The sequence below is a fragment of the Homo sapiens genome, chromosome 3 (assembly GCF_000001405.40).
Source record: "Homo sapiens chromosome 3, GRCh38.p14 Primary Assembly".
In the NCBI taxonomy this organism is placed as follows: domain Eukaryota; kingdom Metazoa; phylum Chordata; class Mammalia; order Primates; family Hominidae; genus Homo; species Homo sapiens.
This window is the reverse complement of record NC_000003.12, coordinates 188298791-188326653: the sequence shown is the minus strand read 5'-3', so window position 1 is coordinate 188326653 and position 27863 is coordinate 188298791. Positions and strand designations below refer to the sequence as shown.

The following is a 27863-nucleotide window of genomic DNA, read 5'->3' as shown; positions in this document are numbered from 1 at the left end:
TCATGTCACTTTTATTTCACTTTATTTCATCAACTTTAAGTACAACCACTTTAACTATCAATACCTGATAAGACTCGTAACTGTGGATTTAACAGAATAACGTTAAGTTATACTTCCAGAATAATGTATAGAAACGATCATGCCCCCTTAACAGCACTTGGATCTTCAATCAGGAAATTCAATTTTAGCTGCAAAACTATGTTTTGGCAAAAGTGCAATTGAACTCAGTGTACTTGTCACATTTCTAAATATACTCCGGTCACCATGACAACAAGAGAGACTGATGGATTGCTTAAAAGAGTACGGTATATTTAATTGTCAGCATTTTAAACTGACTCAGAAAAATGCTGTGTGATAGGTCTACTCACCATGGTTACTGCTGGCTGAGTCCATAATAATAAAGGTTCACATACGCACATCACCAGCGTGCGCACAAAGAACGTAAAAGTCGGAAGACCTGGTATTTCCAACCACCTCAAACGCCAAACTTAAAGCTTTAGAAAGACTCGTTATCATCAAGGTGCCCCTCAAGAACCTCTCTCCCCAAATGGTCAGATGAATCCCAAGATCTGTGTCTGCACACAGGGCCACTAGAGCCAATCCTAAATCAGATTCCAACAACTGCTTCCTTCTCAGATTAAAGATAAGAAAAAGTCGAGGGTATTTTCTCCCGGGATATATCTGGGAAAAAGAATGAGAGAGACTCTTTGTTCTTTCTTGTCATGTAGATCTATTCCCAAATGATAATCTTCTGAGATCCATTCAGTTCCTGAATAAACACTTCCTGCACAAAAATCCCTATGCCAGAGAATCTTCTACAGGCGGAGATACAGATGCAACAAACATGGACCCTGCTCTCAAGAAGCTGATATCCTAAAACAAGAGGAACACAAAAAATATAAATATATAATCAGCTAAATAGAATGAAATAATCCAAATAAATGATCTATTAAATTATTTAATTTACCATACAGTGTGCCTAGCCTATAGCAAACACTCACTAAATCTTCACCATTATTATTATTACTAAAATATTTCTCACCAAAACAGTTTGCAATGTACATAAAGAAAACAAAAGCATGGTAATCACTCTTTTAGAGAACCATACATGCTTTGTAGACTATAAAGCAAGATAATGACAGAAGAATGATGGGGAGGGGGGTATGTGTGCTACTTTAGCTAAAGAATGGGGAAGAGCTAGGTAAGGCTTTAACATTTGAGCTAAGCCTTGAAAGATACTTCCAAGCCAGTTTTGCACAGAATCAGAGAAAGATCAAGTGGGAAAAAGCTTGGCTTATACAGAGGGCTAAAGGAAGGTCAGTGTGTCTACAGATTACTGTGTAAAGTGATGAGTGGTATGAAAAAAGCAGAGAGGCCAGGCGCAGTGGCTCACACCTGTAATTCCAGCACTTTGGGAGGCCGAGGCGGGTGGATCACCTGAGGTCAGGAGTTCGAGACCAGCCTGGCCAACATGGTGAAAACCCATCTCTACTAAAAATACAAAAATTAGCCGAGCGTGATGGCTGGTGCCTGTAATCCCAGCTACTCGGGAGGCTGAGGCAGGAGAATTGCTTGAACCCAGAAGGTGGAGGCTGCAGTGAGCCGAGATCGCACCATCGCACTCCAGCCTGGGAGACAAGAGCGAGACTCCATCTCAAAAAAAATAAAGAAAGAAAAAAAAAGGAGAGAACATAGAGTCATCTCACAGGGCTTTGCAGGCCATGAAAGGGCCTTTCAAACATTTCTACAGATGCTCCTTGATTTCTATGGGGTTGGTTACACCCAGATAAACTCAGTGTGAAGTGGACAAATTGTAAGTCAAACCATCATAAGTCAGGGACCTTCTGCAGATACTACAGCAGCCACCGTATGGCTTAAGGGGAGGGGTGTGATATGATCTGACCAACAATTTTAGATCTCTCCAGATGGTGTGGAAAAAGGCCACAAGGGGAAACCATAAAAGTAGAAGACAATTTCAGAGACTATTGCCATAGTCATGGCAATGGATGGTAACTTGAATTTAGGTAGATTCAAAAGAAGTAATGATAGCAATCAGAGTCAGAAAACATTCTGGAGGCAGAACAAACACGCACTGGCCAAGCATGTACTCTGAGCAGGAGAAGTAGTTAAATGAGTTATATGGAGGTCCTACAACACGGGGGTGAACATGCCTCATGCTTCAGGAGGTCTTGGTAGATCTTGAGATGACGCATTTCGGGTGATGCTGCTGCTCTGTGAATGACACTTTGAGAACCAAGGCTCTAGGAGAGCCAGGAGACAGGAACAACAGTGGAGCAGGAGGTGATGAACGTTGGACTTATGGTAATAATAGATGGAATATAGTAAAGAAGAAACATTCAAGAGATGTGGCAAAAAGAAATTACCAAAGACTTGAGGGCAAATAATCTAGGAATGGAAATAAAAAAGAAGATGGTGCTGGTGGAATTGCCTCTAAGCTTTCTTAAATGACATTGTTCATTATATAGATAGAAAAACATGGTTTCTATCTATCTAGTGCAAATCAGTTTTCCAAGTCACATTTCATGTTGCCACAACCTATCCCTATAAAATAAGGCTAGGGAAATTATTGTAGTTATAGATAATAACGACAACAACAACAATACCAATCATTTATTGAAAGCTTATTCTGTGTCAACCACATTGCAACATGTACTATCTCCAAATCTGGCAATAACTCTATTCCTATGTAAGAAAATGACAAACTAATGCTCAGAGACGTTATATAGCTCACCCAGAATCATTCCTGCTTCAGCTGGATTCAATCCCAGGAGAAAACCCTAAAATCTATGACCTCCACTTCCATTCTGCCTAACAAGCTGAATCCATAGGAGAATAAGATGCCCACTTGGGGCATTCACCCTCAAAGTCAGAGTTCCCTTTTAATCTGACTAAATTTCAAGATCACAACTGGCAAATCTTGATTCATAGACTCTAGCAGCATAGCAATAAGGACCCAAGGTCAGGTGCCACGTGCATAGAACAACCATGACTTATTTTATTTCCACATAAGGAGAATGCAACTTGAGTGTTTCATGAGCTATTCACTGCTCATGCTCAGACTCATGTCTCTGCACTCAAACTCTAGTGCTTTTCCATGGCCTCTGTTTACCCTCGACTTTATTCTGCTACTGCTTTGCAAAGTTTTCTTCCCAGAAAATAAGTGGCTGTCTACACAGTAATGTGTTTGGAGTGAAGATGTGAGAAAGAGGCCCTCATCTGTGAAGATGCATGGTGAACGGTAGTAGATATTGACAAGTAAGAAAGGTTAGTTTAGATATTTCCCCAGCCCAGGAAGTGGGTACAAAATGAGCCACAAGACCTTCCTTCTAGTTACCCACACTGTGCTTTCCCAAGGTGATTCACAGGTACAGCTCCACTGATCTGACAAAGGGGACTGTCTTCAGAAAGATGAAAGGATGTTTTTATGTCTGCTCTCTCTCTTTTCTTTATTTGTTCCTTCTCTAGTAACAACAATTAATTGTGCTGTGCGGGCAGTACAGAGATGAGTCTACCGGGAAGCCAGCACAAATCCATCAAGCGCTTTTAGTCCAAGCTTTTTAGAAGCAATTGCTTACCACATTTTCACCGCTCTTTTTCTCACAGCTAGAATTAGAGTGGATTTTACCACACAATCACTCTAATGCCCTTTTCCCCCACCTCTAAAGTGAAGATGGAAGATGACTATTGGTCCATCACCAGCAAAACCATAAGACATACATGAGAAAACCAATTCATTTAGTGTTTTATAAAGACTAAGTATTGGGTCCTGAGATAGGTATCCCACATACATTAACATATCACAACTTTGTGAGGCAGACATTGTCTATGTCAAACAGGTGAAGAAATTAATGCTCAGAGATGAGAAGTTACTTGCATAGAGTCATACAACTAGAAAATAGCAGAGCCAGGAAGTAAACACAGGTCTGACTCCAAGGCCAATACTTTTCCCATCACTACAGCTGTCCGGCACTCTTCCAAGAGCACTCACAACTTTTCATTCTCTTCTACCAGAGAATCAACATTGCAAATATTACTTAAAACTCAGGCCGTATATAACCAAAAGGCCTTTTTAAAGAGGTCTTTTCTAGGAAGAGTGAACGACTAAGCCATCATAGATTCTATAAGAGTTACCTCTGACCAACCAAACATGTTCCTGAGGGACCAGTTAGGGTCTCTTCCATGCCTAACTAGGAATCATGGAGACTCTTGAATTTCCCAGCTCAGGGCTCTGAGAAAATGACATCACATAAAGCCTGCTCCCTCACCCAACACCAGGGCATGCAGTGAAGAAGGACGAATCAGGGAAAGGGACACAGTGGAAGCCTGAGGGCCTATAAGTCATATGTTCACAGAGGCTCTGGTTCACAATGAAGCATAATAAAATAAAACCACCCAGTGAAAAGTATCTACAGTCCAAGCTTAAACTTGCCTTTTCATTGTTATCCTCACAACCTCCATAGATTAAATGTTGGAAAGGATCAAGCCACAGAAAAAATAAGATTATCCAGTCCTTAGGCCCTTAGACATAATATCTGAGCAAAGATGGGGATTCGTATATGTAAGCAGCATCCTTTTCTGTCCCCCTTTACCTAGAGAGTGATGAGGTGAAGCATCTTGAAAAGATTCCTTATCATAAGCTGAGATGACAGGGACACCTGATGAGAATGGTAATTAAATCAATAAGTAAATAAACACTTGGATCAATGTTCTTCATTTTTGCTGGCTATCTTAAGAAAATGGGATGCCTTATAAAGGTATTTCACTCTTCCAACCATAAATACAAGGTAGCTTCACAAAGTTTTCTCTATTTAAAGTTATTTTGGTTTTCAACAAATGCCAGTTAACCATCTTCTACGTGTTAGTGTGTGGTTTTGGGGGAAAAAGGATGGTAGAAAGAGAAAAAGACCCAATCCCTATTTTCAAAGAGCTCAAAGGCTGGTACCTAAGGCCAAGCACAAAATGTTGTGATTTTTTTTTTAAGTCAGCAAGTTATGTTCTCAATTATGAAAATACCAAATGTCAGATTTTTCTCCAGTCCAAGCAATAATATAAAATGAGCCAATTCTTCTGAATTAGACTTTTTAAAATGAAAATTATGGCTGTTGAAGCTTCTCCTTTTAATGACAATATTATTAGAACTCAGGGGAGAACACAAGGTCAATTGACTCTGATCCATGTTCTTCCCAGGCTCTAAGCCAGCACCATCCAATAGAATTATCATAGGAGCCACATACACCATTTAAAATTTTCTAGTAGCCACATTTCAAAAGGCTCATTGAAAAAAATTATTTTACAAATATATCCAAAATATTATTTTTCAACATGTGGCACTAGCCACCTTTCAAGTGCTCAACAGCCACATGTGGTTAGTGGCTGCCATATTATACAGCACATCTCCCACCTCGCCTCAACCTTCAACTCCCAGGATGAGAACAGAGCAAAACATTTGTTGGAAACAAGGAGCCAAGTTCTGTAATATTGATTGAGATACAAGTACTCCCACAGGCAGACCCAGTTCTCCCAATACTGCAAAGTGTTTCTCTCAACCTTCTATCTCAAGACCAAGAGACTGCAGGACACTGTGATGGCAAACGCCAGAGGGAGAAATGGCTCCATCTTATATGTGAGGATGAGGAAAATCAAACAGGACCAAGGATTACTACCGAAAATATGACAGCTTACTCACACTGGCCACTGGGATACCTTTTCTACTGATTCATCACACACAGGACTTGAGATTTTACCCTCAAACTTTTTGTGGCTTGAAACAATCTCTTTTTTCTAGATCAAGTCACCAATACTTCCTCTTCCCAATCCTCTGTGCATCCTCTGAGAAGAGCACAGAGAAGGTAAAACATTCAGTAAGTACGATGCATCAGTGCATGAAGCTACTGAAAGAAAGAGATGAGAAGCCCTTTTCCTCTCCATACCTTCTAGTCTTGATCCATGGATAAGGAAAATTCAATGTCCTTGTCAAATGAAAAAGAATTCTCTCCTCATCCCTATCCTGTCCTGAACAGTGAATGGCTGACATCCACTAAGCCATACTTAGAAAGGAAAAGGATTAGTTGTCAGGAATGGGCGAGTTCCGTTTCTTACTCCTTCCTGCTTTCCCAAGTGTTCTCCTTTCTATTGGAGATGTGGTTTCTGAGACAGGCCCCAATGCCTGGGTTGTTTACTGGGTAAGTATACACAGAAGCAGCACTGTGACTGAGCTCACCACTGAGGGGACCCCAGAGTTGAGACTGCAGGGCAGGCTGTAGCAAATCGCAACATTGTCGTCAGGTCCTAACCAAATTTTCTAATTGAACTTTGAGGTCCATGTGATTTGGGAGTTTCGGCTTTCCATTATCATGAAGTTAGTAGTTTGAGGACTAGTCAATAATCATTGCCACCAATTTGCAAATGTGTTGGAGTGTGTATAGTCCCAGACAACTGGTCTTCTATTAAAAAATAAAATAAAACAAAACTGGCCACTATCACAATTAACATCACCAGTAATAACTCACATTAACATCATGTACGCTGTGATATGAAGCAATGAGAAGCGTACTTCACCTCTGTGGTGGTCTTCCCAGAAATCTAAAACCCCAATTTAATCATGAGAAAGCATCAGTCAGACTCAAGTTGCAAGACACTCATTCTTCAAAATACCTGACCGTTACACTAAAAAAGTGTCAAGGTCCTAAAAACAGGGAAAGGCTGAGAAATAGCCACAGTCAGGAGGAGACAAAGAAGACAGGATGACTAAATGCACAGCAGCATCCTAAACTAGATCTAGGAAAAAAACGAAAGGCATTAGTGGAAAAACTGGAAAACTGCCAATAAAAGATATAATCACTTCTTTAGTCATGTTACACCAATGATAATTTCTTTGCTTAAACATACTTTGGTTATATAAGATGTTAACATCAGGGAAAGCTGGGTGAAGGGTACACAGGAACTCTTTGTACTGTTAGTCTAGCTCACCAGCTTCAACAGACAAACATTATTGGGGAATGAACACCCTTAAACTGCCTCCAGCTAAATCAAAACCCCATCAGAAAAAGAGCTGACAACAATGAACTACAATACAAGATATTACATAAAGTGATGTCTTGGGTCTTACTGTTATCATAAATTAATAGCATTTCAAATGCATTTGATTAGTTAAAAGGCTCAATGGGAGCAAGAAAGGTGAATTAAACAAGTATTTTAAAAGTAAATAAATAAAATGAAATAAATGAATGAATGAATAAGATGAGAAAGACCAACTGTGCCAAATAAGGAATTGGTAACTGAAAAATCCACATTTTTGCTAATTGTTGAAAATTTTTATTCTGTATTTGGACAGGCATTATATAGAGAATCCTCTTCCCAAACCACCGTTGGATGTTTCAAAGACTATTCTGGCCCTGTTTTACTGAAAGAAAGTCTGTTCCAGTGTGTGTTCCTGAGAAGACAAGGTGCTTAGCCAACACATTCACAGGGGTCTGTGGAGATTCAGTGTCTGAACTTTCTAATCCTTATCTCAAGCATCTGTGAAACTATATAAACTAACCTGAGAAAAATCCTTTTCAAAGAATCATAATTTTTGGCCGGGCGCGGTGGCTCACGCCTGTAATCCCAGCACTTTGGGAGGCCGAGGCGGGCGGATCACGAGGTCAGGAGATCGAGACCATCCCGGCTAAAACGGTGAAACCCCGTCTCTACTAAAAATACAAAAAATTAGCCGGGCGTAGTGGCGCGCGCCTGTAGTCCCAGCTACTTGGGAGGCTGAGGCAGGAGAATGGCGTGAACCCGGGAGGCGGAGCTTGCAGTGAGCCGAGATCGCGCCACTGCACTCCAGCCTGGGCGACAGAGCGAGACTCCGTCTCAAAAAAAAAAAAAAAAAAAAAAAGAATCATAATTTTTTTTCAATTTTTTCCCTCAAAAGTTAGTTTTTCTTCAACACAGTTTACTTGATTCACCAAGCCAACCAAAGTCGAAAAGAATAAGAAAAATTAAATTCCACCGTGTTCTCCATATATAAGTAGGTACTTATGTAAGTAGGTAGGTAGGTAGATGGAAGGAAGGTAGACAGGCAAGCTGAAATTATATGAGCCGAGTTTACAAACTCAAGTCTTCTGCTAAAAGAAAAGGACTTTAGGAAACATTCTACTCCATTCCCAAACCTTCATCACTATCACAAAAATATCCACATATTCATGAGTTTTGTTTTTCTTTTTTTTTTTTGTTTTTTTGGAAATCCTAGTTTTAGAAAAATGTTTTCTCTTCAACAAAGGTACTGAGTGTCATAGAAACCACGTCATGGAGCCCAACACTTTTCAGATGAGGAAACAGTGAACCAAAAAAAGAAATGGAATTGCCTAAGTTAGCTCTTTCTTATCAGAATTCCTCCTGAACATTTTTTCAGGTATTTGGGCCTAAAATTAAAAAGCAAGGCCCAGAATAATTTTTTAAGTGCTGTGAGCAAAGTACTGTGCTAAATTAAACTGCACGATGCAAAGAAAAATAAGAGAAGGATCTTCCTGACCCTGAGGAGCTTTAAAACCAGCTTCTACCCTCCTGGAGGACATTTGGAGGGCTTTTTGTGGAGAAGGATCTTCTATGAGAATGCTGTTTTCCCTAGAGCCTCTCTATTTGTGTCTGCCTGTCCTCCCACACTCCAGATACACAGGGTCCAAAGACAGTGCTGGCATTTTTCTACTTTCTTCTCTTGTCTCCAGATCGGTACTCCACGATCACATGCCCTCACTCTAGCCTCCTATTCTTCTCCCACCTCTTCTCCATTGAGACTTTCAATTCCTGAGATTCTCTCTTTTCTCCCTGTGCACCATCCCCTCAGAGCTTCATTTTTCCCCCCAATTCAAGACAGCAGTTCAAGGTAGAGCAGGTTAATACAGCATTTCAGGCATTATTTTGGTCCTTTATCTGCCCTGACCCTGCCCAATACAACAGTCTACCTTCCCAGCTCTCACAACCCTGCTTAGTTGCACTACACTAAATATAACTTTAGCAGGCTAAGACAGCAATAATGGAAAAGTGATTTCAATATGAATCCTCTTAATTTACAGTGTGGTTAAGAAAACATTTTCTTACTTATTGGCTAATTTGATTATCAGGGCCCTAATAAGTTAGGTACAAAAGATTTGAATGCCCATTTAACAGAAGGAGACACAAAGTCACAGAGATGGGAAATCACCTTTACCAAGGCCATAACGAAAATTTTTGGCACTGCTCAAGCCTGAATCCACATCTCCCTGGCCCAGCGTGCTTTCCATTACACTATGTGCCCAAGGTTCTAGGATGCCCTGCATGAATAATAACACACCATTAATGGTGAGGACAAACCTTTAATCTATACCTGAATTAGACCAGCATTTTTGGTTGACTTAGATACAGAGAAAAAAAAAAAACTTAAAAAAAAAAGTTTTCCAACTGATTCTGGTAGAAACGATTAGCAGAAATATCTTGCAAAGAACGTGGGTGTCCTGGAAGACTCATCGTCGTCATCATTATAATTTCTAATCATGCTGTGTGGGCAGGTGTCCATGTAGCAGAAACACCATTGGCACCCAGATTAGCAGTTTCATCGGGAGACAAGAAACTAAGTCTGCAATTCTTAGACTTCAGAGCCTGAATCACAGCTTTCCCCTCAGGGATCAGCAAATACACAAGTCTGTGCCTTAGCAAGGATTGTTGGGCCTGACAAGGGAGGTAACCAAATATCAGGTCCATCTAAAAATGCACAGTGGAGCAAGGGACAGGAGGTTCCCTGGGAACCTGGAAATACCACTAGCTGCAGAGACAGAAAGGCGGAGTGTTTGTCCCACATTATAGTTCTAATTCACTCAGCAACTTTTATGAATCATTTGCCTTCTTTGCATTTTTGTTTTGATTCTCATCTGAAAATTGAGTTTTCGAAGTAAAGCTACTGGTTTTTAAATGAGACATAGGAAGAGGTCAGAAGAAAAAGTGGCCATCAGTAGGGGTTTGGGCTTCCCCCCAGCTCTGCATCTTTCCCTGCACTACAGCAGGTTCATCGTTATCATTTCTATCCTGGACTTGGGCTTCTGTGCAAAATTTAGCCTAAAGTGTCCAAGGTCACAAACATCATGGGCATCATGTGATCTCTGCTATTGCAACACTGCTAGCATTCTAATTCTACTCAACTGTATTTTTTCTTGAGCAATTCTTATTTTTTTTTTCTTCCAGTAGGGTCTTGGTCAGTCACCCAGGCTGGAGTGAAGTAGCATGATCATAGCACACTGTAACCTCAAACTTCTAGGCTCAAGTGATCCTCCTGCCTCAACCTCCCAAGTAGCTAGAAATAGATTGGGCTAATCTTTTTTTTGTTTTGTTTTGTTTTTTTGAGACAGAGTTTCACTCTTTTCGTCCAGGCTGGAGTGCAATGGCACGATCCTGGCTCACTGCAACCTCCGCCTCCTGAGTTCAAATGGTTCTCCTACCTCAGCCTCCGGAGTAGCTGGGATTACAGGTGCCTGCCACCATGCCTGGCTGGTTTTTTTGTATTTTTTTAGTAGAGATCAGGTTTCACCATGTTGGCCAAGCTGGTCTTAAACTCCTGACCTCAGGTGATCTGCCTGCCTCGGCCTCCCAAAGTGCTGGGATTATAGGCGTAAGCCACCGCGCCCAGACAGGCTAATCTTTAGAAAGACATTTTTACCCAGGTATACTTGATTTGAGAAAAACTATGTAGACTTTTAAAATAAATCTATTAATATCATGACCTAAAAAGGTAATTTGAAGCATGTCTAATATGTTCTTATTCCTACACATTAGTAGATACCTAGAGAGAATATCCAAATGAGGCAGAAACGAACTAGAGTTACAGGACTGAATCAGCCACAAATTCCATAATTCCCTGGAGATTTATTTATTCACACAAAAGCATTTCTTAAGCACATTAGCAAGTGCTTAAGAAATATATGACAGGCACAACGGTAGACCCAAAATAAATAAACAGACAAGGTTCCTGTCCCTACAAAGCTTACATTCTAATGGGTCTGGGATTTTAAGAACCTGTGCATAGTCAAATAACTAAAAAATAAGATTAAAAACACTATTTAGCAAAACTTAAGGCATACAAATAAGCATCTCTTACAGGAAAATTTATATCTTATTTATATGAATAAAAAAGCAGAAATAAAAATATGGAAATTAAGAGCCAAGTTCAAACAATGAGAAAAACAACAAAATAAACCTAGAAAAAGTAGAAGGTATTATTGAAGATTTTAAAGAGAAAATAAAGAATTACAAAGTGGTAGAGCCAACACATAAATGCAAAAGCTATTTTTTAAATAAATAATAAATTAAACTCTGATGCTTTAGCCAGAAAGATGGATACACATAGCAGAAATCCATAAAACTTTAAATAATAATGTGAAATATAACCATAAATACAGAGGAAATGAAAACAATCATGAGAAATTATTTTACACCATGCAAATGAATTTGAAATAGGTGACTTCCCTAAAAAAACTATAATTTAACAAAGGTAATCACAGAATAGATATAAAAGCTAATTAGTCCAATTACTACAGAAAAAAAATGTAAAAAATTTTAAAGAGCAAACACATTCTTCACTCCAAAAAAGGCAATAAGTGAAGGTATTTTCACAAGGGAATTCTACCATATTTTAAAGAAATAACTTTCTTCACTCCGTTCTTCACTCCAAAAAAGGCAATAAGTGAAGGTATTTTCACAAGGGAATTCTACCATATTTTAAAGAAATAACCCATGTAAATGTTATCAAACTATTTCAAAATAAAGAAAAAAGAAAAGCTTCCTTGTTTGTTTGTTTGTTTATTTTGAGATGGAGTCTCTCTCTGTCGCCAGGCTGGAGTCAGGGGCGCAATCTCACTCACTGCAAACTCTGCCTCCCGGGTTCAAGCGATCCTCCTGCCTCAGCCTCCCGAGTAGCTGGGATTACAGGCGCATGACACCATGCCCAGCTAATTTTTGTATTTTCATTAGAGACGAGATTTCACTATTTTGGTCAGGATGGTCTCGATCACACACACACACACACAGAATTTTCAAATAATCTCACTTATGAAAATTGAAGCACAGATCATTAATATATTAATGATCTCTAGGATCTAGCAACACTAAAAATATATAATACAGAAACAATGAACAAGTTGATAATTATTTTAGCAAGAATACTAACAAGATTTCATGTTTGAAAATTTTATTCATATATTACAGCAAATTTACAGGACAAAAGAGAAAAACATAAAATTTTTTTAGAATATATGATTACTTTCAAAGTTTCTTTAAAAAAAAAAGCTAGATAACCTTTTAACAACCAGTCTCAATTAAAACAACAACAATAACAACACTATCAAAATAAGTGTGGATACTTTTCAACACAATACATTTCTCAAATCGAAAGCCAATGTCACTAGTAACAGGGAACATTATGAGCATTCCCATTAAACTCAGACACAAAAGAAGGACATTTACTCAACCACAGTTATTTAATATTTACTATTCTAGAGGTATTAGTACAGTTAGAAGAAAGCTATAAGTGTTGTAAAAATTGGAAAGAAAGGATAAATTATTGGCAGATAATATACTTACTTAACTAGAAACTCAAAAAAAATTTATCTAAAATTATTCAAATAATGAGACAATTCAGTAAAGTGGCTGAGCAGAAAATCAATGTACTGAAATCCAGACCCCAAACACAGAGGCACACACACATATAATTAAATGAAATAGAAAATAATTACATTAACTAGAGCAAGTAGAAAATATCTACAAAATTAACTTATTAGAAACAGGCACGGTCTACATGAAGAAAAATCTCAGTGCTCCTGGGAACATCAAAGAAGGTTTCAACAAATGGAAAGGCATTAGTATTCCAAGAAAAAGAATCAACATTTTTACAATGTATAGCATGTAATGCTAACAAATAAACCCAGCAAACCTCATAAGTATATCAACAGAACTTTTTTACATTATTTTATTTTATTTTTTTTTTTTTTTGAGACGGAGTCTCACTCTGTCACCCAGGCTGGAGTGCAGTGGCGGGATCTTGGCTCACTGCAACCTCCACCTCCCAGTTCAAGCGATTCTCCTGCCTCAGCCTCCCGAGTAGCTGGGACTACAGGTGCCCGCCACCACACTTGGCTAATTTTTGTATTCTTAGTAGATAGGGTTTCACCATGTTGGCCAGGCTGGTCTTGAACTTCTGACCTCAAGTGATCTGCCCACCTCAGCCACCCGAAGTGCTGGGATTACAGGCGTGAGCCACCACGCCCAGCCAGAACTAGATAGGTTCATTATAAAGGTCAATGAAAAATAAACAGGCATTAAAAGCCAGAAATTTTCTGAAAAAGAGAAACTAATAGGAATGGGGAATCTTTGTCAGATAATAAAACATATTATAAAGCTACAATAATTGAAAGCATAATAATGACACATGAAGTGACAGATGAATAGAACAGAAAGTCTAAAAATAGATGCAAATTCTTTTTTTTTTCTTTTTTTTAATATTTTAAGTTCTGGGGTACATGTGCACAACGTGCAGATTTGTTACATATGTATACATGTGCCATGTTGGTTTGCTGCACCCATTAACTCGTCATTTACATTAGGTATATCTCCTAATGCTATCCCTCCCCCGTCCCCCAACCCCATGACAGGCCCCAGTGTGTGATGTTCCCTTTCCTGTGTCCAAGCATTCTCATTGTTCAATTCCCACCTGTGAGTAAGAACATGCGGTCTTTGGTTTTCTGTCCTTGCGATAGTTTGCTGAGAATGATGGTTTCCAGGTTCATCCATGTCCCTACAAAGGACATGAACTCATCCTTTATTATGGCTGCATAGTATTCCACGGTGTTCTTAAGTATTAAATACTTAAGTATTAAGAAATTTAATATACAATAAAGGTAGCTTTTCAAATCAGTGTGAAAGAGATGGACTCCTCAATAAACAGTGTTTAGAAATGCAGATCCAGAAAAATATCAAAATAAATCCTAACCTCACATTTTTTACCAAAATAAAATTTCAATGGTTCAAAGATTTGAGAAAGAGCAGAAGAAATAACTAGAAGAAAAATTGGAAATTTCTTTTTAAATATCACAAAGTGGGGAAGGCATTTCTAGGCATCACACAAAATCAAAGAAACATAAAATCAAAAAAGGATTAACTATATAAAACTTTTTATTTTAATCTGCAAGTTAAAAAAGAAATGCAAAATGGTAAAGCATTACAATTCCTGTCACAGACTACAAGTTAATTTTCTTAACTGTAATAAATCAATAAGCAAAAATTCAGCAATCCAATGGAAAAGGAAGTGAAGGACAGTTCAGAAAACGGAATTACAAATGGGTACGGCTCATTTCAAATGGTGTTTAGAGTCGCTAATAACAGAAATGCAAATGTGTATATAAATGGCATGTATATAAATGTATTTATATACACTGGAATATAAATACATATCTGTGTGTGTTTGTGTGTGTGTTTCTGTGTGTGTGTGTATACACATGCTTATTTATACCCAGTTTATTTCTAAAAGGATATATAAAGAACTTATACTTTCCTCTGGGTGGGAGAAGTAAAGAGATAAAATAAAGATGTACTTGTCATTGCATAGTTTTGAATTTTATACTATAGTTTAAACTATATTTTTGTGTTACTTATTCAAATTAATTTTTAGTTTCTTTAAAGAAATGTTGGAAAGGCCTGGTGCGGTGGCTCACACCTGTAATCCCAGCACTTTGGGAAGTCGAGGCAGGAGAATCATCTGAGCTCAGGAGTTCGAGACCAGCCTGGCCAATATGGTGAAACTCTGTCTCTACTAAAAATACAAAAATTAGCCGGGCATAGCAGCGGGTGCCTGTAATCCCAGCTACTCAGAAGGCTGAGGCAGGAGAATCGCTTGAATTCGGGACATGGAGGTTGCAGTGAGCCAACATCAGGCCACTGCACTCAAGCCTGGGTGACAGCAAGACAGAAAACAGAAAAAAAACAGAAAAAAAAAAGAAATGTTGGACAATAGCACATCAAAGAGAACGATGAATTCAGGGCAGGGAAGCCAGATAGATAGCCTGCAATGTTCCAACTCCGTAAGTTTATTTTATCTTACTTTTAGTTTAGTTTAGTTTAGTTTAGTTTAGTTTAGTTTAGTTTAGTTTAGTTTAGTTTAGAGATAGGGTCTCGCTCCATTATCCAAGCTGGAGTATAGCAGCACAATCATAGCTCACTGCAGCCTTGAACTCTCAAGCAATGTTCCTGCCTCAGCCTCCTGAGTAGCTAGGACTACAGGTGTACACCATCATGACCAACTAATTGTTTTATTTCATTTTTTTGTAGAAATGGGGTCTCACTATGTTGCCCAGTCTGGTCTCAAACTCCTGGCATCAAGAGATCCTCCCACTGCAGACTCCCATAGTGCCGGGATTTGACAGTAGACAGAGAGAGAGAGAGAGAGCATATAAAATAATTAGAAAATAAGAATAACTAAAAAAAAAAAATTGGGGCCACTGCACCCGGCCTCAATTCTGCAACTTAATACGGCATATCAGAATAACTATGAGAAAGATATCAGGATCTGAAGACTAATACAGCTGCTTAATATCTTCGACTTTTTGGAAGTTCTTCATCCTTTCAGCACCTCAGTTTCCACAGCTGTGAAACAGAAAGCTAAAACTTACACTTCAACAGGTCTCTGTGAAAATTAAATAAGATAACTTATAATAAAGCACTTAGCCCAAGTTCTGGCAAGGAACATATATTCAATCAATGTTGGCTCTCTTTACTATAAGGATTCTTTTAAAAAATAATAATAGCAATAATAATAATGCTCTGCTCAACCACACACATTCCACCCAACATCTACCCCCACCACTCTGGCCTCAGCTACCCTTCCTATTGCCATTGACACCCTAACTGCCCAAGAAGCAAGGATTGAATAAACTCAAATTCTAAATGCCAGTCCAGAAAATGAATTTTAAAAAAATCTATTTCAACTCACATATTTCACAGTGGAGGCCATCTATAATTAGGTGGTGGCCAAAGTGATGAAAACTCAAATCTATTGACCCCCTTTTCATAGACTCTTCAACACAATTATTTCAATGTGTAGGCAAAGATTGAGCAACTCTCCCTCAACAATTATTTCATGTGTCAGCAAAGAATGAGCATTTCTCCCTCAATTCCACTGGCTAGCTATTTTTTAAGTTCACTTTGCTTTCTTGCCTTCTCACTCCCAAGCACCTATAGCGCACTCATCAACCGGGCATCCTTGGCCTGTCTCTCCTTGTGAACATGGATCACCACAGAATACACACAGTCACCTGCCTCATATCACTGCAGACATTAGAAGACAAAGTTATCTTTCTTGTAATATCCCAAAAGGCCAACTTCGTCAGTCTTCCAGAAGAAGAAAAAAAAAAAAAAAAGAAAGACAACTTTAACAAAAACTCACTCTATCCTGATAGAAACAAATAAAGAACCCCTTTCTCTAGAACACAATGACTTAAAGAGATCTTAAAGCTGATGCATCCTCACAGCACTGGGTTTTGTTGGCAGTCATGGTGGTGGTGGTGAGGTTTTGGGTGTTTGTTTGTTTTGTTTAATTTATCTTTCTGTTTTTGGCCTGTGTGAAAGATTCTGTTATGGGTATTATCAATTCTCATTTAAAGAAATAAGGACAATGGTATTAATAATGAAACAAAAGTACTCCTTTTTACTCTCTGTGGTCTGCAAGAAGTTTCACATTTCACTCAGATCAGAACTCCATGTTTTACTGATGTGAAAGTATGTGGTTTTTGCGATAGCCAAGTTCTTCTAATATTCAACTTTGTTGTTTCTTACTTTCAACTTACAGTAAATGAATCCCGATTTTTCCCCTTTGTCAAAATCAGCCCATTTTCAAAACAAGCAAGCCACCTCACTCATGACACTTTTCATGAATATTATACAGGCATAAGGCTATTTAAACCTATTTTATCGAATTATACAATCTCAACTATGAAGGAGATTGCTCAATTTTTGTCTGTGGATGCCACAGGACACAACTAATTCTGGAGAAGCACAGAAGAAAGGCAAGTCCTACCTCTGCTTATCTCGCCTCTCCCCTAAGGACCTCTCAACCTTTGTTTTGGGCAACGTTTAAACAGAGAAATCAGGGATCATCAATCAGTCCCCAACCAGAGAAGAACAATTACTGTCATCATGCCCATAGCCATCATCTTTAACCTTAGCTTCAGGTGCGCTCAATCTAACTCCAGAGCCTGCAAAGTAGGTAATGCAAAAATTACTCTCCTCCACTGTATATTAGAAGAAACGCAGGCTCCGGACAGGTGCGGTGGCTCATGACTGTAATCCCAGCACTTTGGGAGGGCAAGGCAGGTGGATCACCTGAGGTCAGGAGTTCAAGACCAGCCTGGCCAATATGGTGAAACCCCATCTCTGCTAAAAATACAAAAATTAGCTGAGCATGGTCATGCACGTCTATAATCCCAGATACTGAGGAGGCTAAGGCAGGAGAATCGCTTGAACCTGGGAGGCAGAGGATGCAGGAGCAGGGATTGCACCACTACACTCCAGCCTGGGCAACAGAGTGAGACTCCATATCAAAAAAAAAAAAAAAAAGAAGAAGAAGAAAAAGAAGAAGGAGAAGGAGAGGAGGGAGGAGGAGAAGGAGAAAGGAGAAGGGAGAAGGGAGAAGGAGGAGGAGGAGGAGAGAAGAAGAAGAAGACGAAGAAGAAGGAGAAGGAGTAGGAGAAGGAGAACGAGAACGAGAACAAGAACAAGAACAAGAAGAACAAGAAGAAACAACAACTCAGGCTCAGAAAGAACAAATGATTTGCCCTGGAGCCCCCAGCAATAAGTGGGAAGATCAAGTCCTTGACCGAAGTTTTATCGTTCTGAAACAAGGCTCTATCTACTCTCTACTCCGCATAAGGGGAGCACCCTGGATTTTGTTTGTTTCTCTCAACACTTTGTGCAGCACTGGCTCTTAGTTGCTTCATCGTGACACAATGACTCCACCAGCAAGGCTGACAACCAGCGCATACTTGATGGCACCACTGTTTACACTGGAGTTGGTTTCGATTGTTCGGTGCCTGGGCCATAGCAGTTGTTAAATATTTTCACTATCACTATGATCCATCAATTTTCAGATGGGTCACAAGCAATTTATTATCAGTAACTGTTTAAATCCTAACGTTCCAAATGATTTGTTTTTGTTTAAAAACTAGCACTCTTTCAAGGTTATCCCTATGATATTGTCACTCACATTCCCATTTACTTGCTTAAGTGGGGCATCTAGAAGCAGAGTTATAGACAGTTTTTCATTTATTCCACTTCACCACAGCTTGCCTTCTCTGTGATATAGGCATATCACAGCCCATAGTGTGCTGCGATATTAACACTATTCATCATAAGAATCTTGGATAAATAAAACCGAGAAACTGCTTCTGTAAATGTTGGGGGCAGAATGACCAACAATTTGGCTTTCCTAGAAAGAGAAGAGAATATCTGAATTCCCTGTAAACTGGTAAATCCTCTACCATCAGTCCTGAATTCTGAGGGGGCCTGATATTTAAGCAACAAAACTTAGAAGGTTCCACCTGTTATTCCTAGCTCTGTCACTAAAAATCGTGTCCAAACAGAGGTAATACGAATGTGTTACCCGTTCCCGAAATTACACACACGCACAGACACACACACACACTTACACCCCAGAGCACAGAATGGATCCAGTGTAGTAGTGCAGGTGACCAAAAATGCCCCACAGTCCATTCAATACGTATAGAAACAATTTATCCTAACAATGTCTAAGAGATAATCAGCTGTATTCCCTGTGTTAATAAAGTCATATTGAACATCCCAGTTATGAGCTTATCTCATAGGACTAAGAATGTATTATCTATCTCCCTCACTAGAGTGTAAGCTCCCTGTGATGAAGAACCAGTTATTCATTCAAGTAAATACTTACTGAGCATCTATTATGTGCCAGGCACTGACCTAGGTGGGGATACAACAAACAACTTAAAAAGACTAAATCCTGGCGCTCACGGAGCTTACATCCCAGTGTGGTAAAAGTAGAAAATTCATAAACAGGTAAAGATGCACATAATTTTCAGAGAACAATAAATACTCAAAAATAAAATAGAGTACAGGAGATAGGTAGTGCCAGATGTGGAGGCACAAATTTTATCTATCTTACAGCTATTTCTAATCATTGATTTGAGGCTTTCGAAAAAACAGCCACGTCTGAGTCCCACCCACAGATATTCTGATTTAATGAGCTTGGGGGTGGACTTTGGACAACACTGTTTTTAAGGGCACGCCAATCATTCTAACATACCACCAGGACTGAGATCCACTGGTATGTATGATTTTAAAAGAGAACAGGCTTTGGTTTCAAAGCTACCTGTCACATTTCATCTGTGTGACCTCAGGAAAGATACTTCATTTCCTTGAGCCTCAATGCTCACGTCTGTAAAATGGGATAATAATAGTAATAGACACCTCTTTGGGTTATTGTGAGAATTGAATGATATATGCAAAGTATAGCAAAGTTTCTAGCACATGCAAAGGACTCAGTAAGTTTTGCCATCATTTACTGTTATCTCTACCAGTTAAAAATATGCACAGAAGATGCAAATTGAGGGCTGCAGGCCAAATCTGGTCCTTAGACGGGTTCTGTTTGCCATTTGCAGTGTGGACTTACAACGTGCTTTGTTGTTGTTTTGAGCCAAAGTTGATGCTACTGAGTAAGATTGTAAGTTGCATTTTTCTTCTTCCATGAGGAAGTATCTCTCATAGTGCTTTAAAAATACTTGAATGAGCTGCCAACATTTTAAAAACCAAAGAGTTTACATAAAAATCTGGCAATGATGCATCTCCACGTGGCAATAATTAGCTAGCGCCAAGCGGCTGTCACCCCTTTCAGAGAGGATGCCCTCTTGAGCACCTCCCATTCCCCACCACGCACTGCATCTCTCTCCCCAAACACATGCCCAGAGCATGGCATTTCAACAACACACTAGCACTGTTACTTTCCTTACGGTAAAGAGGAAAACAAAATATTTCCTGCACCCACGACTCTAAAGTGGGAAGAGGTTAAGCTAGATAAAGGGCTTTGTGTTTCAAGAAAATGTGCCTGACTCTGTAGGCATATGGCCTAACATATCCTGGACACTGAAATAGGAGCTTTGCAAACATTAGCTCCATTCATCCCACAATTCTGTGAGGTACTTTCCATGATCACAATTTTCAGGCCAGGCACGGTGGCTCACACCTGTAATCCCAACACTTTGGGAGGGCATGGTGGGTGGATCATTTGAGGTCAGGAGTTCAAGCCCAGCCTGACCAACATGGTGAAACCCCGTCTCTACTAAAAATACAAAAAAAAAAAAATTAGCTGGACATGGTGGTGCACACCTGCAATCCCAGCTACTTGGGAGGCTGAGGCAGGAGAATCGCTTGAACTCAGGAGGCACAGGTTGCAGTAAACCGAGATCACGCCACTGCACTCCAACCTAGGTGAAAGAGTGAGACTACGTCTCAAAAAAAATAAAAGAAAAGAAAAAGAAAACACAACATTTTTCAAGGATGAAGAAACAACCCTAGAGAGGATAAGCAACAGCCTTCAGTCACATATACAATAAGTGAAAAGTTAGGTACAGAAACAGAACTGTCTGACTTCAAAGTTGAAACTTCCTCCACCATACTATGCTCCCCGCACCAACGAGAATATTTAGTGTAATTAAACTATTGAAGACAACAACAGGTAAACGAGAAAATCCTTGGAAAAGAACACCGTTAATTTACAATAGTATATGTCTCTCTCTGGCCAACGTACTTTGTTTCATGACACTACTGGCATCATCCATCCCAAATACTTTCGGTCGCTGTGTGTTTCAGACTCTGAAAAACCTTCAAATAACACAATAAAACCTGCTCCTCTTTTCCTTTAATCTTACATAAAGGCAGTTCTCTTAAGTCTATAGTCAAAGAGATTATAAAAAGAAAACAAATCACTTTGCGTGTGTGTGTGTATCTGTGTGTTTGTGTGTGTGTTGCGTTGAGAAAAATCAAAACCAGCAACTGAAATAGAAGACCAAGACCCAGTAAAACTCATCTCAAATATTGACACTTTGTGAGCCTCTCTGGACTCACCTTGTCAGAATTAACCTGCCTCCAGATTCTAGTACAGGTTATTTGTACCTATCTCAGATTTCCACATCACATTATACTTATGGGTTATGTCAACTTAACTATGTTTTATTTACTTTTTTATGTCCCAATCCACACCTGCTACCAATGTTAAGCTCACAGAAAGGCACAAAGCTGGATGTTCAGTAAAATGGTTGTTGACTTGAGGGCTGCAAAATAACACTGAAATCAAGGTAACACTGACCTTTTCCTAACAATTTTTTTAAAGTAAATATATTTAGTATTTAGCTCCTACAGAGCTAGGCTTTGTGGGTATATAGAGATTAATTTTTTTAAGTACATTGACTTCAAAGAACTTATCACCCACTGGGAGAGTCAAAAGCACATATATAACCATAATGCAGAAGAAATAAAAATGAAATCTCCTAAGAGATATAAACAAAAAAGTCCTGGCAATTGAGAGAAATGTGCAAGCTAGGAAATGTATCAGTCTTTTGCTATTATCTTTATTTTAAGTGGTCAATTAAAATATTTCAGCCCAAATAAATATGTAATTTATTTCCCTGATAATTTAATGACATTTCTTTTTTGAAGCAACTGACATTTAACTATCAGAAGAGCTGTTAAGAAAGGTCTCAGCCATAATAGGGAATTCAACTTTTTTAAGGAAGCTTAAGAGAAATTATCTTTGTATTTCAGCAATTCTGGAAGAGCTTGACTTTTCTGACAATATAACTGCAAAGGAACTTGAGTCAAAACACATGGGAAAAGAAAAGATGCTCAAGATATTTCAAGTCTACAATTATTTGCTGAACACATGCTAAGTGCCAGGAAATATGTTAAGCTCTCCAGGGAAACAGAGCTCAGCCTTTATTTGGGATAACAGTGGGCTACTCGTTCAGGATAAGATATTAAGATATAACTTTATGGTAAGCAGTACACAAGAGGTATATGAGCAAAAAGCTGTGAGATTTAAAGGGGAGAGAAAGTATGTAAATTAGGAACTTTATTGATACATGTGGCATGGCACCATGAAAAGAAAACTAAATTTAGTAACTTAACATTCGCATTATACTCCTGGTTCTGCCAAAATAATTTGGTGACAGAACTTGAGCAAGTCCCTGCCCACCTTTTAGGCTTCAGATTTCCCCCCATTATTAAAAAAGAGGCTTAAACTATACAGCCCTTCCAGTGATCTTAGTCTACAAACAAATCTGGGCATTACACTACACTCTGAATTGGAGGTACAGCAAGAGAATGCAAATTTTCTATTACGCCATTTAAATCTATTTGCCCTCTGAGAGGTTTGCCAACCCAGAAATTCAAAAGCAACAAAGCTAGTAGCTACAAATTTGATACATTTATTATAATTTATATGACTACAATTTACTGACTAAATTACACACTGTTCCATCATAAAGGCTGGGGTACTCCTACAACATCAACAGGGGACGTATGAAGACAGGCAGTTAAGTAGGGTAGATTTCCGCCAGGGCACTTCCTCCATTCTATGGCACAGAAGGTATAGGGTAATTATAGGTCCAGCAATTACTAGTTGATACTAGTCCTTTTACTAAGAAAAGTGAGAACTTTATTTCCCATTAGAAATGGTTCCAGTATAACTTTCCAAAGCCATACACCTTTTCAAATATTTATTTTGTAAATTATCATTGGCCAACCCTGTCTTACAAAATCAGAATCTCCAGGGAGGGTACTGGGAACCTATTTTTAATAACAGGTGATTTTGAAGATCAAGCAAGTCAGGAAACTCCTGTTATAAAACATCTGATCTCCTCATTATTCACCACAAGTGCCCTGCTTCTTATCCTATTTGCATGTTTCTCCTACCTGCAGTGTGCTTCTCCTACCACCGCTGGTGACATATACTTACCTATTCTTCAGGGTCCAGCTCAAATACCAACTGATTCCATGACCCTCCACACTCTCTCTTCCAGGAAAGTACCTTTTACCTCCCACAGTTCTTTGTACTCTCTTTAAGTATAGAAGAGATCAGAGAAGGAGTCTGAGTCATTCATTCATTTATAAGTTCATTCATTCAACAAATATTTACTGGTCACCTATCCCATGCCAGGTACTACTCTAGGCACTGGTGACACAGCCAATGAACAAAACAAAGTTCTCTATTTTCAGGGACATTTTAGTACAGGTGCTGGCAACCTGTGGCACGCAGACCAAATCCAGCCTACTGCATGTTTTTGTGAATAAAAGTTTATTGGAACATATTCACACGCAATTATTTATGTATTGTTTATGGTGGAGTCTTGAGTGTTTCGTGTATTATCTAAGAGCAGAGTGAGTAGCTACAACAGACACCTTATGGACCACAAATCTAAGCTGTGTACCATCTGTCCCTTTACAGAAAAAGTTGACCATCCCTTGTTCTAGTATATTTTTCCCACATAGCACAGTGTTGAGTACGTAGTAGGCAGTTAATACATGCTTAAAGAATAAAACAGATTAAAAGTAAGAATAAAATCATATAAGACAAGTCCTTTGGCAGAACCTCTTTTATCCACCCCCATCTCCATTCTTAATTATGCCAAAGCTAATTCCCACCCAGAATAGAATGTTGTTAGCAACTACAGTTTAGCATGATAAAAAGGGAGGGAGCAAGCTTTCAAACCTATGGAAAAGTTAAGAAGTAAATAAATGTGCTGTGATTTCAAAAGTCATTGCTATTTCAGGCTTGTTTGTGATGATAACAGCTGGCCTGGCAAAATATATTACAATAGCTGTCTTTTCTGGCTTTCCAGAGCTTACAAAAGTTTGAAGGGAGTTACTGCATTTCATTGGTTTGTTTGCTTCATAAGGTGCATCTTGTGGAGGAGACCTTTCTGTCTTCTGGATCAAGCTGCCTAATGAGACTCAGATTAGGTTAAACAAAAACACACAGCAGCATGTGAGGAAAACCCCATTCTGTCAAATACTAAAGTAAAGTTCATAAATGCAATCTTATATCCACATCCTAAGAGCTGTCTTCTTTATCATGTCCATATGAAAGCCCTGCCTTCTCTCAAGAAAAGAACTGAAAACTGTGCTATTTGCAGGATCCTTTTCAGAGGTTGAGTTACCATAAAATTTAAAGTGGAGAACTGATATATAGCTAAGGTTTCATTGTGGTTTACTGCAAAGAGTAACAGTTTTAGATTCAAACAAGTCTCTGTTCCACAAAAACTGTGGCACTCATTAATCATGTAAACTTAGGCAAATCATTTAGCCTCTTTGAGTCTCTGTTTCTTAGTTATAAATTGGGATAATAGAAATTACATTGAAGGAAGGATGGGAGAATTAAACGAGAGAGTAAATGCAAAGCAGCTTTCTCAGAATCAGAAGAAAAATGGTTTTCAGTAAAGGATGGTTGTTTTCCTTCCATTTTGTCCAAAATCAAGTTCCAAGCAGCTCCCCAAACCTTGAAAATACCTTCATTATGTTGTCTCTAAACTCCCTGAGAATGTTACAATATGTTCTGGGTTGTTGTTTTTTTTTTCTTTTTTTTTAAGTCAGTAAATTGGGCTGGGTACAGTGGCTAACACTTATAATCCCAGCACTTTGGGAGGCCAAGGCAAGCAGATAGTTTGAGCCCGGGAGTTCAACACCAGCCTGGGCAACATGGCAAAATACTGTCTTTAAAAAAAGTACAAAAAAAATTAGCTGGGCATTGTGGCACACAACTGTAGTCCAAGGTACTTGAGAGGCTTCAGTGACTCCAGGACATTGAGGTTGCAGTGAATTATGATCGTGCCACTGCACTCCAGCCTGGGTAACAAAGTGAGACTCTGTCTCAAATAATAATAATAATAAATAATAAATAAATAAAATCAATAAATTTGGAGAGATGGCAATTGTATATCTTTGACTTTTCCTTAGTCTGACCTCAAGAAAATTATTTTTAATTTATTATATCCTTCTTAAAAGAGAACTACTCTGAAGCTATACAATAGCTCTTCATTCTATGTCCTGGCAACTGATTCTTAGCAAAACATTCCTTAAAATAACAGTCTCCAAAAGGCATTATACTAAGAACATCCTGATTAGCATCACAGAAAGGATAATCAGGTTAGTTCTGACCTTCCCTCCTGATTTTGAAATGAAACAAAAATGGCCGAGCTCTGGTTATTTCCACTTTCTGGTCCCCATGGCCTTTGGCCCCTGTAACCCACAGTGTAAAATGCAATAAAGAAATTCATAAGTTTTCATCAAAATCATCTCCATTAACTTTATAGATAGACAGTGAGCAGACAAGCAGGTGTAGATATGGATAGGCAAATAGATAAATATAAATGACAGGTAAAAATGGAGAGATATACATGAAACAGGGAGGTAAGAATTGCCAGAAATGGTTAGACGGACGACTGGATAGAGAGGCAGGAGGGTGGATGGGCAGGTGTATGGAAAAACAAGCATGGAAAAAAGGAAGGATGGAACTAGGGCAAATGTAGAAGATAAGATGCTGAGCAGACACATAGAAATGCATAGAGACAAAGGGATAAATCCATGACAAAAAAGATCAATCTTAGGACTGAAATAGTAGAAAAATCTCCTCTCACAGCTTACTACTCCTTCAATCTTCATTTAAGAAAATATTCAAAGGTCTCTCTTCATCATTATGTCGTCATATCCAGAAATGTGTTTACAGTATTATATATGTGCCCAGCAACAGAAAATGAACTCTTTGAGCAAAACAAATCTATTGTATCCTTCTATGAAGAGAAAATAAAAAGTCTTCCAGATGGCATAAGGCAACTTACCTAACGCAGGACATTCAGGAGACCAACCAATCTATTTTTTAGTATTTCTGTAACTAATGTTTTATTAATAAAGAGAACTTGGGCTAATATGTTTTGCTGTAGTCAGAATTTTCTACAAATTAATAACTCTACAGGTCTGACCTTTTTACCTTAACTGAGATCTTAACTAAAAGTACTGCTAAACTCCAATTCAATACATATTAATTTATTTAAAAAACTGGATACTTCAAATTCCTTTACTGCCAAAAAAAAAAAAAAAAAAAAATGGCCAAGTGTGCCTGCCATGTTTTAAAGTAAGTTCCTTTCTTGGTAAGCAGCTAACCCTTAATTATGGAAACAATAGTCACAATCGTTCGTCACAAAATCTCAAAATGCATGTGCATATATCAGATAATGCAATATTATGCAATGATTAAAATTTACATTTTGGGAATGTTTACAATACAGTGTTATGTAAAGAAAACAGAATAAAAATACACATAGATATACACAAACACACACAAAAAAAGAAAAAAAATAAACACACACAACCCTTCTTAAAAAAAGAGAACAGATTACCCAAATGTTTAAATTAGAACAATGATGTCCCTGGATGATGGACTCATTAGGGTTATTTTAATTTTCATCATACTTTTGTGCATTTAACTTTTTAAAAAGAGTCTATGTAACTTTCATAATTGAAAAAGAAATGTCTGTTCTGTTTTAGGGATGATAAAAGTCCCTTTGTTGAGATTACAAATAGGAAGGTATTTTTCTGTTTACAGAGTACTTTCATAGGCATTAACTCATCTGAGCCATTCAACAACTCAGAGAAAGGGGTTTGATGATGATCTCCAGAGACAGACAGCAGAGCGGTGAAGCTCATAACTCGAAATGTGACACAGGCAGACCTGGCTCAAGGCTTCCTGGTGCCCTACTGTCTTCTTTACAATGTCCATCCATTTTTCTCAAGAAAGGAGTTTTGTCTTAGTTTGCTTTCTAAAAGGGTTCCAAAACTGTTTTACTTCCCTCTCATCCCAAGGTCCAACATCCTATTTTTTTAAAAACAAGAACCAAGAATCAAAAAACAGATAGCCCACCCCAGATGCCTCACCTCACAGTGGGACGGGGAGACTATTCAAGAACTTTAAAATTCACTGTTGCTATTTTCGCATATTCATACAGCCAATTATCCTAACGGGACTTGTCCAACCTATTAAGGGGATATCCAGGCACAATTTTAAAAAAAGACACAGTCTGACCTAGAAAGGGAATCAGAGACGAAGATTCAAAAGCTGCTTAAGACGACGTAATGCTGAGGGAGAATTATAGTCAGCATCGAAGAAGCAACACAGCTCAAATGTGCCTGGTCTTGGAATGACTCACCGGTATTGCTGTGACGCTTTCCTGTCCCATTGATCAGACAGGTTTTTCCATTAGAATTTACTGACGACGTGCTCCCCAGTAAGTTGGTAAGATCAATTCTGTAGTTTTAAAATAAGGAAGATATGACTGAAATGTTAGAACACAGTCTCCACGCAGCACACACAAAAAAGCCCAGGGAGAGTCCGAGGCTGTGTGAAGGAAAAGTGGCCTCCCTTCTAGCTCAGCCCATGAGCAAGTTCACCCGTCTGTCTGCTCTGGGTTTTTTGATAAAGAGTTAACTGATTCTGATACAATCTGCTGCCTTATTAAGATGTAAGACACATAAGTTAGAGAGAGAGTGTGTGTATATGGGAAAAGTCTGGGCCTGCTTAGGGCCTGGGGCAAGAGTAGAAGCTAGGTCTTCATAAAAAGGCTGAAGCCTATAGAATAAGATGGAGCCTCATGACTGGCCTCATGGGGCTAAGCTTCCCTCTGCTCATGCAAACTTCTAGAACAGAACCCATCCCACACTGGGCAGAATAAATACTCATGATGGGAATGGGCCTGGGGTAGAAAGAAACAGAT

General features: G+C 38.7%; 1 protein-coding gene across 57 annotated transcripts in view; it reads right to left on the bottom strand.

Moving 5' to 3' along the window:
- LPP (LIM domain containing preferred translocation partner in lipoma) overlaps window positions 1-27863 on the bottom strand; it is a 737651-nt gene that overhangs the window by 564018 nt on the left and 145770 nt on the right. Inside the window, exon 1 of one of the 57 annotated variants that reach the window (XM_047448100.1) lies at window positions 369-27863. The exons of the other annotated variants lie outside the window; for them this stretch is intronic. Within the exon in view, the coding sequence (XP_047304056.1) occupies window positions 369-419 (51 nt within the window). The 5' untranslated portion in view covers window positions 420-27863. The remainder of the gene's footprint in view (window positions 1-368) is intronic. 57 annotated transcript variants of the gene reach the window in all.